Source organism: Homo sapiens, chromosome 2, assembly GCF_000001405.40.
Source record: "Homo sapiens chromosome 2, GRCh38.p14 Primary Assembly".
Lineage (NCBI taxonomy): Eukaryota > Metazoa > Chordata > Mammalia > Primates > Hominidae > Homo > Homo sapiens.
The window spans coordinates 85,835,278-85,850,702 of record NC_000002.12 but is presented as its reverse complement, the minus strand read 5'-3'; the positions used below and the strand labels follow the sequence as shown (position 1 = coordinate 85,850,702).

Here is a 15,425-nt window from a genome sequence, read left to right as displayed (position 1 = left end):
CTAGGAGATTTGTAAAACCAGATACTTAGGATATGATTCTCTAGTGGAGGGTTAGGCCTTTAGGTCTCTAAAAATTGCCATTCATGACCTTCGGGCCTAGGGTTTTGAGATGAATGTGCAGTGTGTGTGGCCGCTCTGTGTGTCCCGCTTCCACCAGCTTGGCATTAAGCACCCGGAGCATCACCTGCTGGGCAGGCCTGGCCAGGGGTGAGCCCCTCCATTCGGGGGCTCAGGGTCAAGGCAGATTCCTTGCTTGGCTTTCCTGCTGATTTCCTCATGAAGATGCCAATTCGTATTTAAACATTTGTTATCAATGGTGGTGTTTGTGTGCTGATTTCTATAGGTAGAGGCTGTTGTTTTAGGAGCCAGGTTTGCTGGGCCAGCTCAGACCTCTTACAAAGTGAAGATACTAATGATCGTCTTGCAAGGTGCCATAGTGTCGTGAGGGTGAACTGAGGCAGTGGCTATGCATGGTGTCTGCAGCAGCGTTTCTGAGGCTCCAAGAATATCAGTTCCTTTTTCAGAAATGGGGCCAGATTCTTCGGATGTAGACAGTGTTCTCTTCACGGATGCTAACAACTTATCAAAGCTATAATATATTAAGTATCTCTGTTATAATAGGATAGATGCATTCCTAAAAAAATGTGTTAAGCAAAAATCAGAAAATGAAAATAAAAATAACAAGGCCTTGAGGAAAAGCATAGTTGGGATGAACATTTAAACCTATACCCCAGTAATAATCCTCATAATGATACTGACAAAGTTGAAAAGATATGTTGAATTCCTAATAAATATCCCAGTAAATATAGGATTACACACACACACACACACACACACACACACACACTTCTGCCTGTGAGAAGGTAGTGAATAGGAGGAGTAATGCAGGGCCAATTCCAAGGCTGCTAAATATGGAGACAAGGATAAAAAAGCACAAAGATAGGAAGAACTACCTGACAGGGGTTCTGAGTCAGCATTTGTCCAGCTGAGCCAAGAGGAAGACTGGGGTGAATGGACACGCATACCATATTCCTCCAAGGTTGCGTTTTTGTTTTTTGGGGGGTTTTTTGTTTGTTTTTTTGTTTTTTGAGACAGAGTCTCGCTCTGTTGCCCAGGCTGGAGTATAGTGGCACGATCTCGGCTCACTGCAAGCTCTGCCTCCCGGGTTCACACCATTCTCCTGCCTCAGCCTCCCGAGTAGCTGGGACTACAGGTGCCCACCACCACGTGCCCGGCTAATTTTTGTATTTTTAGTAGAGACGAGTTTCACCGTATTAGCCAGGATGGTCATGTTTTTGTTCTTGTTTTTGTTTTAGAGACAGGGTCTCCCTCTGTCACCCAGGCTGGAGTGCAGTGGCACAATCACAGCTCACTACAGTGTCAACCTTCCAGGTTGAGGATCACTCGATACTCATGCCTCAGCCTCCCATGTAGCTGGGGCCACAGGGGCACACCACCACTCCTGACCCATTTTTTAAAAAATTTTTTGTATAGGTGGGGTCTCACCATGTTGCCCAGGCTAGCCTCGAACTCCTGGGCTCAAGCAACCCTCTCACCTTGGCCTCCCAAAGTGCTGAGATTATAGGTGTGACCCGCCATGCCCGCCTTTCCTCTGAGTTTTGTTGCATTCACGCAGCTCCTGGCTGAGGCAAAACATTAAAATGCATATGGAAATGCAGGCTGGGAAAATGCTTTGAAACCAATGCAATTTCTGTGTTAAGGGGACATTCCCTGATTCTTTCAGGTAATTTGCATTCTAGACTGTGACATTCTGTATCTCAACTGATAAATAAGCCTGTTTGTCATCCTGCTAGATGAGAACCTGATATATGAAACCTTTTTTTTAATCGTGGTTAAAAAAAACATAAAATTTACCATCATAATTATTTTTAAATGTACCATTTGGCAGCATTAAGTATATTTAAACTCTTGTGAAACAAATTTCTAGAATGTTTTCATCTTGCAAAACCGAAACGCTGTACCTATTAAACAACTCCCCTTTTCTCCCTCTCTTCAACCCTGGTAACCATGTTTTTATGAATTTGACTACTTTAGATACCTCATATAAGTCAGGTCATACAGTATTTGTCTCTTTGTGACTGGCTTCACTTAGCATAATGTCCTCAAAGTTTAACTATGTTGTAGCATGTATCAGAATTTTATGAAACATGAAGTCTTAGACACCCCGAAGTACATTTTCACCCCAAATGTATTTGAACAGTGTTAGGCTGGGGGTGGGAGGCGGGAGTCCTTCTTGCTTTGCCTGTGCAATGAAATGAATACCCTGCTGTGTTTATCTCCTTGTCATGTGATTCTCCCAGGTTGTTTCTTCAAGTTTCTGAGCCAAACTTAACTCTAAAAAGCAAATATTCTGTGTTAAAAGACAGTAATCAACACGGGAGCTACATCAGACATCATAGGACAAATTGTCATCTAGAAGAGTATATTTTTAATGCAGGAGAGTTTTTAAAACCCAGATTGGTGTGATTTCATTCCAGAGAGCTCAGAAATATGCTCAGCAAGTCTTGCAGAAGGAATGTCGTCCCAAGTTTGCCAAGACATCAATGGCGCTGTTATTTGAGCACAGGTATAGCGTGGACTTACTCCCTTTTGTGCAGAAGGCCCCCAAAGACAGTGAAGCTGAGTCCAAGTACGATCCTCCTTTTGGGTTCCGGAAGTTCTCCAGTAAAGTCCAGACCCTCTTGGAACTCTTGCCAGAGCACGACCTCCCTGAACACTTGAAAGCCAAGACCTGTCGGCGCTGTGTGGTTATTGGAAGCGGAGGAATACTGCACGGATTAGAACTGGGCCACACCCTGAACCAGTTCGATGTTGTGATAAGGTACATTGGTTTTTTTTGTTTGTTTGTTTACTTATTTTTATTGTTTTTATTTTATTTTATTTTTTGAGGCAGGGTCTCACTCCTGTTGTCCAGGCTGGAGTGCAGTGGTGTGATCTCAGCTCACTGCAGCCTCAACTTCCCAGGCTCAGGAGATCCTCCCACCACAGCCTCCCCAGTAGCTGGGACCCCAGGCACACACCACGCGTGGCTAATTTTTTATATTTTTAGTAGAGATGGGGTTTCTCCGAATTGCCCAGACTGGGGTACATCGCTTTTAAAACCAACCTTTCTCCTCTAGAACTCAGTGCACTGCTCTTGGTCAGTGTGGCTCCAGGAACAGTGAGGGACACAGGAAGCTCTTCACAGTCCCTGCCCACAAGGGACTTAACGTTTGAGAAGTTGAAACAAAAACACAAAATGGTTGGATGCTCCAAACTGTCATACTGACCCTAAGTTGGAGGAGCATGCTGCTGGCTACAGTAAGTGGCAGAACCTTGTCAGAGGAAGTGAGATTTGGAAGGTGGGTAGATTCAAGTAAAACAGCAAAGGACCACAACTCCCAGACAGGGGCAAGAAGAGGACACAGCAAGAGACTTGAGTCAATGAGGGGCCTGGCTTCTGGAGAAGGGGCTTGGGGCCAGTGAGTCCTGGAAGGCAGTGCTGGCTGGGACATGGAAGGCACACAGAGAAGTTCAGACTCACCATGATAGCCAATAGGCAGTCATCCTAGATTCTTTTTTGGTTTCACTGTTTAAAAATTGTTTTCTGGCCAGGCGCAGTGGCTCATGCCTATAATCCCAGCACTTTGGGAGGCCAAGGCAGGAGGATCGCTTGAGCTCAGGAGTTCAAGACCAGCCTGGGCAACATAGAGACAGCTTGTCTCTACAGAAAATCAAAAAGTCAGCCAGGCATGGTGGACTAGATTTTCCCTTCTGATTCCTTTTTTGAAATTCTGGCAAGAACTAACATCTGAGCACAATGGAAAATTTCTGAGGATATTTTACTGGCACCCAGAGAAAGTCCCAAATGTAATATGCTTAGATTGAGTAAAAATATTAGGGCTAGATGAAATTGCTTGACATTCAGGGATTAGATACAAGTGTTCGCTCAAGTACTAAAGGCTGCATTCCTCGAAATCCTAGAAAGACAGAGCTGGGAGGGGAGATGAGGCTGCAAACCATGCACTCATTCTTAGTCATAAGAAGACGTGGAGGACATGACATGGATACTGCCTGGTGTACAGAGATGGTTGATGGCCTGCTTTGTCAGTGTGTCTTTGTCCTTTTTATTTAAATAGGTTAAACAGTGCACCAGTTGAGGGATATTCAGAACATGTTGGAAATAAAACTACTATAAGGATGACTTATCCAGAGGGCGCACCACTGTCTGACCTTGAATATTATTCCAATGACTTATTTGTTGCTGTTTTATTTAAGAGTGTTGATTTCAACTGGCTTCAAGCAATGGTAAAAAAGGAAACCCTGGTAAGCACTAATACTTCTATTAAATCTGCCTTAGTAAAAAGTGAAGGAGTCTTACTTAGTTGTAATTATAGCCTTTTATTTTTAAACACGCAGAGCGGAATGCATACTTATGTGTTGTCTTTCAAATGATGATCACTCTCTTTGTAGAAACCCCTCAGCAATTCTTTTTTTTGGGGATGGAGTCTCATTCTGTTGTCCAGGCTAGAGGGCTGGAGTGCAGTGGTGCAGTCTTGGCTCTCTGCAGCCTCCGCATCCCAGGTTCAAGCAATTCTCCTGCCTCAGCCTCCCGAGTAGCTAGGATTACAGGCGCCTGCCACCACGCCCAGTTAATTTTTGTATTTTTAATAGAGATGGGGTTTCACCATGTTGGCCAGGCTGGTCTCAAACTCCTGACCTCAGGAGATCCACCCGCCTCAGCCTCCAAAAGTGCTGGGATTACAAACATGAGCCACTGCACCTGGCCCTCTTCCAGTGGTTCTTGCACATGGGCAGGTTGGAGAATTCCTGGTAGAGACAGTGGTGAGGGTGTTTATAATTTAAACTGAACAAATACTAGGAGCTAGTGGGAGATTTGTTGGGTGCGGTCTCAGCACCGGCACTTCCTCAGTGCTTTTGATTTCATGGGTGAAATTTCACACTCCTGAGAGACAAATGAGACCCTGCCCCCCAGTTGAAATCGGAAAGTACCATACAGTGGGAGTATTTTTCCTTTTGGTGGCGGGAATGGAGTGAGATGGTTATAAAGAGGCCCTGCTGCAGTTGTGTCAATCCAGGAGTGGGTGCTTTCCTCCTATGTCTGTGTACAGCTGTACACTCTGCATGGATGGGCCAGACCTAATTAAGAGTCGCATGAAAATGGTGATCATTGCTTAATGGGAATATCCAGATTGTGACCAAAATTGCTGTTACTGAGGTTGTTCACCCACCTTGTTCTCCAGACATGAACTTGCATAGCTTTTGGCTAGTTCCAGAAATTAGACTTACTTAGATGGATATAAGCCTTTTTGAGGGTATTCAAAAGCATATAAAAATCAAGGAATACTCTAAAGAGCTCCAAAAATGCTTTGGTCAGTGGTTCCCTTGTTGGAATAAATTCATGGCATTCCAGAAGGGCAGCTATGGAGGAGATGGCCCTCACTTGGTCATATTCCTTTTGTCTTTATTGGTCACATTACTTTATAGTCTCACCCATTATATTCAAATACATTTCAGAGGTCAGCTGTCGAGGAGTGTATGCACATGTATAGACATATGCACAAACTAGCTGTCTGTGAAACTAATGGGACGTATTCAACTTTTCACGTAAACTCCATGTGATGACAAATTTGTATTTCCAAAGCTGATTCTATATCAGTCATCATGGTCTTCTGGATTTTCTATTGGGCAGAAGTTCTAGTTGGAAGATGAAGCATATATGAAACGACTTCATGGGACTAGGAAATAGAGTAAGTGAGAGAGGATGCGAGGTGAGGGCAGTTTCAGCACTTAATAGCCTTAAATTGGACCTATTCACTTGGGCTTCCCTAGACAAAATGATGGTGTTAGCACCATTGAGGAATGTCTACCTCAAACAAATACAAGCTGGTTCTGCAATTCATCTCTTTGTCCAGTGCCGCCTGTGTGAAGTGGCTATTTCAGAGTTACTTTTTTGAGTTGGAGTGCCGGATTTGCGTAGCTTTTGCAATCTATAGGAGTAGATTGCTTCAGAAGGCAGTGCACAGGGCCACATGGGGTCACACCCACAGCCTTGGTCTGATGAGTGGGAATGCTTTCTCCCCTCCCCTAGAAGGATGACTAACAACTGCTTGCTTGCTTTCCTTAGCCATTCTGGGTACGACTCTTCTTTTGGAAGCAGGTGGCAGAAAAAATCCCACTGCAGCCAAAACATTTCAGGATTTTGAATCCAGTTATCATCAAAGAGACTGCCTTTGACATCCTTCAGTACTCAGAGCCTCAGTCAAGGTTCTGGGGCCGAGATAAGGTATTTTTGTTGCTACTCAAAGTTAATCATTCCCTGTTTGAGGGGCGATGTGTACAAATTTCACTTTGGCTCAACTGTATACCCAGAAGCATCTCCAGTGGAGAAACCCAGCCTGTGATTAGATGCTCCATGTGTGTTTACCACTCTGCACTTGGCTGCAGGGCTCCTCATTGTTTAATTGGCCTTCTCTCCAGTGACTCTTCTCTTTAGTGTAGGCAGCACATTAACACTTGAATCACTGAGATACTATTTTAAGGTATTCTTACTCCAGGACTCCATATAACTGCAGGACACTGAAAGGCACTTTCATGATCTGAAAAGTTATTTACATTTTATTTTTTAATTTTTTAAAAATTTAAAAAATTTTGTACCCCAGAGAAAAGTCATATTTACATTTTCACTCTGTGGGCCATTCAGGTGAGTATTGATTTTTATCATCACTTTGTAGGTGATAGTTATAAAAGTTAATCCTCAAGAACAGTGTTTTTCAGTTAATGCCTGGGTCTCATCTCAGACATTCTAATTGTTTTGTGTTTTAAGATTTTCTAAATTCCGTGGACGATTTTTATTTTGCAGCCTAATTTGGGAACTTTGTGCTCTAGGCTGTTTATTGCAGTAGAGATTCTTTACCTGCAATTAGCAAGTGCTGCCACCAGGGGCGTGGGGGTGTGCATGCCTTTATTACTTGCGGCTTCTTGATCTGAATAACTTGACTGGTGTCTTTAAAACTTAAGACCTGTGTGGAAATTATCACATGTACAATGAGAATAAACACTCTCAGAATACAAAGAGCTCTTACTAAATCAAAGAGAAAAAGATGAACCAATAGAAAATGGGCAAAAAATAGGAATAGACATTTCACAAAAGAAGAATTAAAATAGCCAAAGAATACATGTAAAAATGTTCAACTTTACCAATAATCAAATAAAAGCAAATTAGAGCCACAATAGTATTTTTGCCCATTTTCTTAGCAAAGACTTAAAAGTTTGATAATGTCCTTGTTTGGCAGGAATGTAGGTAGAATGATCAGCTGGCACTTTTTCTGGAGGATATTTTGGCAATATTAAACCATTTTAAATACGAATCATCTCTGACCCACCAATTTTACACTAAAAACATTATTACAAGGAAATTAGAGAAATTTATAAAGATGGATATTCTAGGATGTACACTATAGCATTAACAGCAGAGGACTAAAAACAGCCTAAATGTTCATTATTATGGGATTGTTTAAACAAATTATGATAAAGTCAATGCAGTATTGTCTGTTAAGGATGAAGAATATAGGAAAACACCTCCATAGTATATTAAGTGAGAAAATAAACATACAAAACACTAGGCTGGGCGCGGTTGCAGACGCCTGTAATCCCAGCACTTTGGGAGGCTGAGGCGGGCAGATCACCTGAGGTCAGGAGTTCGAGACCAGCCTGACCAACATGGAGAAACCCTGTCTCTACTAAAAATAAAATTAGCCAGGCGTGGTGGCGCGTGCCTGTAATTTCAGCTACTTGGGAGGCTGAGGCAGGAGAATCGCTTGACCTGGGAGGCGGAGGTTGCAATGAGCCGAGATCGCCCCATTGCACTCCAGCCTGGGCAACAAGAGTGAAACTCCATCTTAAAAAAAAAAAAAAAAGATACAGAACACTTTAACAATAAAAGTATGTGTTTAGTATAAAAGCTTGGAAATAGACACCAGCCTGTGAAGAATGCCCTTCTTCAGAGGGGAAGTCTATAGAAGACTTCTACTTTCTGCTTTATAATCTGTCTGTTAGTTGAACTGAATATTTTCCTATTTTTATAATTGATAAAATGGCATTTTTCTTTTGGATAAAAACAGTAACTTAAAAGAGGACTTCTGATCTAAAGTTGCAGTATCAGAAACTTCCTCATGTATATGTCCTTCCAGCAGATGAAGAAGCCTGTTGAGCAGTAGGAGATGTGATCTCAAAGGGCATGCTATAGAGATGACATGCTTTGGGGAGTTTTTCATCGGTTTTTTAGTTCTCTCCATATATCACCCCAATGGACAGTTGATTTCACACACTCCTTCGACAAACATTGAATATTCCCTGTGTGACAAGATGGTCACTGGGGGTACATGGTTGGAGAAGACAGAACAACGCCTAGAGCCCTGGCTAAACAGGAGGAAAGTGTCCTTTGTGTTAATTTCTCTTGGTTTCTATTTCCAAGCATGCAGAATGGCTGTTGAGTTCCTTTTTAACAGGTGAGGTTGGCTTTGAGAGGTAGATGCATCAAGGAGCAGGAAGCAGATTTTAACAAATGATGGCTTCAGTAGATGTTCCCTAATCCCACCTGAATCTGTGAACTCTGGAGGGTCCACTGTTGTTCCACTTTACAAAAAAGAAGAGTTATATTTATGGCAGCCACAAGCTCAACTAAGATGAATGAAAAGAGAGGCACATTTTTCCATGAAAAACTATACAAAAGGATGCTAATAGTAAGAGTAGTAGTAGATTGGTGGCAGCCTTTGAGGAGGCCTAGTGAGCTGCAGGGCCTTCTGTATTCCTCCCTGTCCTGTGTACTGTTTTTACCCAAGGCTGGCATGGAGATCCAGAAAGCACGATGTCAGATTTGCACATTCCAGGAAGCAAGACAAGATGCCAGACATGAGGAGGGAGTGGGGACACCATCAGAATCTAGAAAGGTTTAGACAATGGAGATTCTAGGCCAAGGTCAGTAGGATACATTTTTAAAGGAACAAATGTGGAAATATTTAATTCAGGACTAAAAATGTACTTGAGGCTGGACATGGTGGCCCATGGCTGTAATCCCAACACTTTGGGAAGCCAAGACGGGAGGATTGCTTGAGCCCAGGAGTTCGAGACCAGCCTGGGCAACATGGTGAAACCCTATTTCTACAAAAAAATACAAAAAGTAGCTGGGCATGGTGGCACATGCCTGTAGTCCCAGCTACTCAGGAAGCTGAGGTGGGAGGATCACCTGAGCCTGTGAAGGTCAAGGCTGCAGTGAGCCGTGATCGCGCCACTGTACCCCAACCTGGGCAACAGAGTGAGACCGATGCTGTCTCAAAAAAAAAAACAAAATTTACTTGCCCAAACAGACGGTGGGAAGAAACTGGCTTAGCAGCTCTACATAGGGAAATGGCCTGGAAGTGCTATTTGCCAGCAAAGCCAATGGGGCCCTTAAGTGGGATGTAGCTGCTGGTGTGTGAACACAGTCTTCTGCAGTGAGAACTGAGAATCCTCTGTTCTCAGGAAGGGATGGGCTCCAGAAACTGTGCCCTGGGAAGGACCGTGGAAGGTCCTGTGGCCACCTCTCCCAGAGCAGACCTCATAGACATTTGTCATTGAGAGAGGAAGTAGGCTTTTTTTTTTATTTTTTTTTTTAATGATTCTGGGCATCACATATAGGAAGGACCAGTGGGGTAGACATTTTAGAAGGAATGCCTTTTTTTTTTTTTTTTTTTTTTTTGAGACAGAGTCTTGCTCTGTCGCCAGGGTGGAGTGCAGTGGCTCGATCTCGGCTCACTGCAGCCTCCGCCTCCTGGGTTCAAGTGATTCTCCTGCCTCAGCCTCCTGAGTAGCTGGGACTACAGGCGTGTGCCACCACACCTGGCTAAATTTTGTATTTTTAGTAGAGACAGGGTTTCACCATATTGGCCAGGCTGGTCTCAAACTCTTGACCTCGTGATCCGCCCACCTCGGCCTCCCAGAGTGCTGGGATTACAGGCGTGAGCCACCGCACCTGGCCTAGAAGGGGAATACCTTTTAACTTGGTGTAAGAATTGTCAGGCTGCCCCTTGAAAGTGTGTGAACATCACAGACCATGTTTTAGAGCCTAGATTCCTGACTTAAATGGAGAGTTGGACTCTAAAGTTCATGATGTATAAAATTATGTGATGTATGAAATTGCAGCCCCCAATGTAGCTTTCATGACTCTGCGTAGCATGTGTAATACCAGCAAAATGGTGACTTGTGCCAAAATTTTTTTTTACTTTTTGGTCTTCTTTTCCCTTTCTCAGAACGTCCCCACAATCGGTGTCATTGCCGTTGTCTTAGCCACACATCTGTGCGATGAAGTCAGTTTGGCGGGTTTTGGATATGACCTCAATCAACCCAGAACACCTTTGCACTACTTCGACAGTCAATGCATGGCTGCTATGAACTTTCAGACCATGCATAATGTGACAACGGAAACCAAGTTCCTCTTAAAGCTGGTCAAAGAGGGAGTGGTGAAAGATCTCAGTGGAGGCATTGATCGTGAATTTTGAACACAGAAAACCTCAGTTGAAAATGCAACTCTAACTCTGAGAGCTGTTTTTGACAGCCTTCTTGATGTATTTCTCCATCCTGCAGATACTTTGAAGTGCAGCTCATGTTTTTAACTTTTAATTTAAAAACACAAAAAAAATTTTAGCTCTTCCCACTTTTTTTTTCCTATTTATTTGAGGTCAGTGTTTGTTTTTGCACACCATTTTGTAAATGAAACTTAAGAATTGAATTGGAAAGACTTCTCAAAGAGAATTGTATGTAACGATGTTGTATTGATTTTTAAGAAAGTAATTTAATTTGTAAAACTTCTGCTCGTTTACACTGCACATTGAATACAGGTAACTAATTGGAAGGAGAGGGGAGGTCACTCTTTTGATGGTGGCCCTGAACCTCATTCTGGTTCCCTGCTGCGCTGCTTGGTGTGACCCACGGAGGATCCACTCCCAGGATGACGTGCTCCGTAGCTCTGCTGCTGATACTGGGTCTGCGATGCAGCGGCGTGAGGCCTGGGCTGGTTGGAGAAGGTCACAACCCTTCTCTGTTGGTCTGCCTTCTGCTGAAAGACTCGAGAACCAACCAGGGAAGCTGTCCTGGAGGTCCCTGGTCGGAGAGGGACATAGAATCTGTGACCTCTGACAACTGTGAAGCCACCCTGGGCTACAGAAACCACAGTCTTCCCAGCAATTATTACAATTCTTGAATTCCTTGGGGATTTTTTACTGCCCTTTCAAAGCACTTAAGTGTTAGATCTAACGTGTTCCAGTGTCTGTCTGAGGTGACTTAAAAAATCAGAACAAAACTTCTATTATCCAGAGTCATGGGAGAGTACACCCTTTCCAGGAATAATGTTTTGGGAAACACTGAAATGAAATCTTCCCAGTATTATAAATTGTGTATTTAAAAAAAAGAAACTTTTCTGAATGCCTACCTGGCGGTGTATACCAGGCAGTGTGCCAGTTTAAAAAGATGAAAAAGAATAAAAACTTTTGAGGAACTCTCGTAGTCTGGTTAATTTGGGTGCTTATGTCTATGAATCTACCCAAAACCTCCTTCTTGGATGCTGCTGCTAGGCGGAGACCTCTCTGTGGATGCCAGTAGTGAGGGACAGAGAATTAAGGCACCTGGTCCTGCAAGCTGCTTGAGTCCAGACAACTGTGAACCCTTCTGAAGAGATGCTGGGTGTCGGTGGCTTCCTCCCCAAAGACAGGCTGCCCCTAGCTTCTGTCTCTTAATGGCTCTAGCCTCTGATATCAGAAGATCTGCTACTCTGTTCCCAGCCTGCCCCAGACTCGGCTGCCGCCATCGCTGTTCTCCACTCTGTGGCTGCTCTTGTCACTAATGCTACCTGCCTCCACTTTCCCTTCCTGCAACTGCTTGTGCAGCCCCAGTGCAGCCTTGGCCCCAGCCCATTCGAACGTCTTCCCATCTCCCTCCTCCTCACCATATGCAGGGCCAGGAGTCAGGTCATAGCATTCAAAGCAGAGTCCCTTCTGTCTCCTGGGGTCTGGGATCCAGCTCAGAGTGGCCAGGAGAGCAAAAGTCATATTTCTCTCGTTTTGTGTCTTTACAGATAATTTTGTATGAATTTTATTTCCTACTCTATAAGCTACTGCTTGTTTAAGAGAAAATGTTTTAAGATTATCACCCATCAAATGAGTTTAGAAAATTGAGACTCTGGAAGATGGTCCACAGCTCCCTTGTGGCTCAGGTGGTGCTGGGCTTACACCACACAGCTCCACCCCTACATCCCTCAGGGGGTTATTGGAGAAGCCGGAACTTCCTCAGACAACGTTCTTAATGCTACGAGCGCCTCCTTGCTGGTATGAGGAGACTTGCCTACCTGCTTCTCAAGGCTGCTGGGATGTGTGGTGCTCAAAGCTTCCACTTGGTCAGCTTGCAGCCATTCTCAGGCCTGCTCCCATCCCCATCCCTCCTCCCTGTAAGGCCCTTCTTGCATCCTTAGGTTGCTTTGCTCATGTCTCTCAACTTTTACTTACTCAGGTGGTAAGCAGATACCCTAAAAAGGTATATTTTTGTAGACCTTTTATAGAGTCCACCAGCCAATAGGAGTTGGCTGGAGATCATTCTCAAGAACTTTTCACACTTTGGCATTCATTTGTTGGAAGTTGCATCTTCACTTCAGAGCTGTGCCCCCATTACTCCCCCACCCCACACACACTCTTCTGAAAACAGACCTTTGCTAGGTGCCTCTGGGTGTTCTAAAGTTGATCTCCAGTAACTGAGAATTCACTGCCACACTAACAGCTTTGTATTGCATTCTAGACCCGCACACACACCCTCCGACATAAATGAAATCACTGGTTCTGAGGCAACTTAGGAAGACTTACACATGTTCTGTATTTTAACATGCTTCTAGAACTTTGAGCTGCAGAAAATTTCAGTTTTAGGGTTTTTTAATTTTAATTTTTGATTGATACATAGTGATGTGCATATTTTGAGGGTCCATGTGATAATGTAATACATTTGTGTAATTATAAGGAGCAAATCTGTGTAACTGGGATATCTGTCACATTAAATATTTGTCTTTATGGTAGAAACATTTGAATTATTCTAGTGATTTTGAAATACACAGTAAATTATTGTAAACTATAGGCATTCTACTGACCTATCAAACACTAGGTCTTGTTTCTTTTATCAAACTGTATGTTTGTACCCATTAATCAACCTCTCTTCATTTCCCCCTACCCTTCTTGGCCTCTGGTAACTACCAATCTACTCTCTATCTTCATGAGATCCACTTTTTTAGCTCCTACATAGGAATGAGAACATGTGATATTTGTCTTTCTGTGTTTGGCTTATTTCACTTAACATCACCTCCAGTTCCATCCATCTTGCTGCAGATAACATGATTTCAACCTTTTTATGGCAGAATAATATTCCATTGTGTATATATACCACATTTTCTTTATTCATTCACCCATTGATGGACACTTAGGTTGATTTCATGTTTTGGCTATGTGAATAGCGCTGCAATAAATATGGGAGTATAGATATATCTTCAATATGTCTTTTGTTTTGGATATTGATATGGTTTGGCTCTGTGTCCCCACCCAAATTTCATCTTGAATTTTACTCCCATAATTCCCATGTATTGTGGGAGGGACCCTGTGGGAGATCATTTGAATCATGGAGGTGGTTTCCCTCATACTGTTCCCATGGTAGTGCATAAATCTCACAAGATCTGATGGTTTTATCAGGGGTTTCCACTTTTGCATCCTCCTCTCTTGCCACTGCCATGTAAGAAGTGCCTTTTGCCTCCCACCTTGATTCTGAGGCCTCCCCAGCCATGTGGAAATGTAAGTCCAATTAAATCTCTTTTTGTTCACAGTCATGGGTATGTCTTTATCAGCAGCGTGAAAACAGACTATTATGGATATATAATCAGTAGTGGAATGGCTGGATCAGATGGTAATTCTATTTTTAGTTTTTTGAGGAACCTCCATGCAATACTCCATAGTGGCTGTACTAATTTACATTCCCACCAACAATGCGCAAGGGTTTCCTTTCTCTACGTCCTTGCCAGCATTTACATTCCCTGTCTTTTTAATAAGATCCATTTTAACTGGGGTGAGATTATATTGTGGTTTTGATTTGTATTTCTTGATGATTAGTAATATTAAGCATTTTTTTCATATACCTCTTGGCCCTCTGTCTTTTTTTGAGAAATGTCTCTTTAGATCTTTTGCCCATTTTAAAATCAGTTTGTTTTTTACTTTTGAGTTGTTTGAACTCTTTATATATTTTGGTTATTAACCCCTTGTCAGATGGATAGTTCACAAGTATCTTCTCCCATTCCATGGATTGTCTCTTGACTTGTTGATTGTTTCCTTTACTGCACAGAATGTTTTTAGCTTGATGTAATTCTATTTGTCTGTTTTTGCTTTGGTTGCCTGTGCTTTTGAGCTCTTACACAAAATATTTTTGCCCAGACCAATGTCCTGGAGTGTTTCATAGTTTTAGGTCTTAGATTTAAATCTTTAATCCATTTGCTTTGGTTTTTGTATATGGTGAGAGATAGAGGTTCAGTTTTATTCTTTTGCATATAACTATCCAGTTTTCCCAGCATCATTTATTGAAGAGACTCTCTCCTTTCCCCATTGTATGTTCTTGGTGCCTTTGTCAAAAATGAGTTGGCTATAAACGCATGGATTTATATCTGGGTCTGGGTTCTCTATTCTGTTCCATTGGTCTGATGTCTTTGCATGCCAGTACCATGATGTTTTGGTTACTATAGCTTTGTAGTATATTTTGAAGTCAGGTAGTGTGATTCCTATAGCTTTGTTCTTTTTGCTCAGGATTGCTTTGGCTATTTGGGGTCTTTTGTGGTTCCATGTAAATTTTGGAATTATTTTTTCTATTTCTGTGAAGAATGTCATCGGGTCCATGAGCGTGAAATATCTTTCCATTTTGGGGTGCCCTCTTCAGTTTCTTTCATTAGTGTTTTATAGTTGTCTTTGGATAGATCTTTCACATCTTTGGTTAAATTGATTCCTAGGTATTTTGTATTCTTTGTAGCTACCATAAATGAAATTGATTTCTTGATTTCTTTTTCAGATTGTTGTTCTTGGGATATGTAAATGCTATTGATTTTTGTATGTTGATTTTGAATGCTGCAACTTTACTGAATTCACTTATCAGTTCCAACAGTTGTTTGGTGGAGTCTTTAGGTTTTTCTAAGTATAATATCATGTCATCTGCAAACAAGACTAATTTAAACTTCTTTCTTTGATGCCCTTTATTTCTTTCTCTTGCCTTATTGCCCTGAAACTTCGAGTAGTAGGTCAAATAAAAGTGGTGAAAGTGGGCATCTTTGTCTGGTTCCGGATTTTAAAGAAAAGGGTTTC

At 42.5% G+C, this 15,425-nt stretch overlaps 1 protein-coding gene across 20 annotated transcripts in view, besides 1 other annotated feature; it reads left to right on the top strand.

Moving 5' to 3' along the window:
* ST3GAL5 (ST3 beta-galactoside alpha-2,3-sialyltransferase 5) overlaps positions 1–13,583 on the top strand; it is a 51,915-nt gene extending 38,332 nt beyond the window's left edge. For 9 of the 20 annotated variants that reach the window (NM_003896.4, NM_001354224.2, NM_001354227.2 and 6 more), the window contains 4 exons: positions 2,499–2,842; positions 4,140–4,326; positions 6,149–6,307; positions 10,311–13,583. In NM_003896.4, coding sequence (NP_003887.3) covers positions 2,499–2,842; positions 4,140–4,326; positions 6,149–6,307; positions 10,311–10,559 — 939 coding nt within the window. In that variant the 3' untranslated portion in view covers positions 10,560–13,583. Of the gene's footprint in view, positions 1–2,321; positions 2,843–3,140; positions 3,322–4,139; positions 4,327–6,148; positions 6,308–10,310 lie in introns of those variants that run through there. The other 11 variants (NM_001354226.2, NM_001354233.2, NM_001354223.2 and 8 more) reach the window with 6 other exon arrangements.
* Positions 3,139–3,198: an enhancer, noted in NCBI's record as "active region_16139". NCBI's record gives its function as "activates an Ori minimal core promoter by ATAC-STARR-seq in GM12878 lymphoblastoid cells {active_cell/tissue: GM12878}" and the evidence as "EXISTENCE:reporter gene assay evidence [ECO:0000049][PMID:35858748]".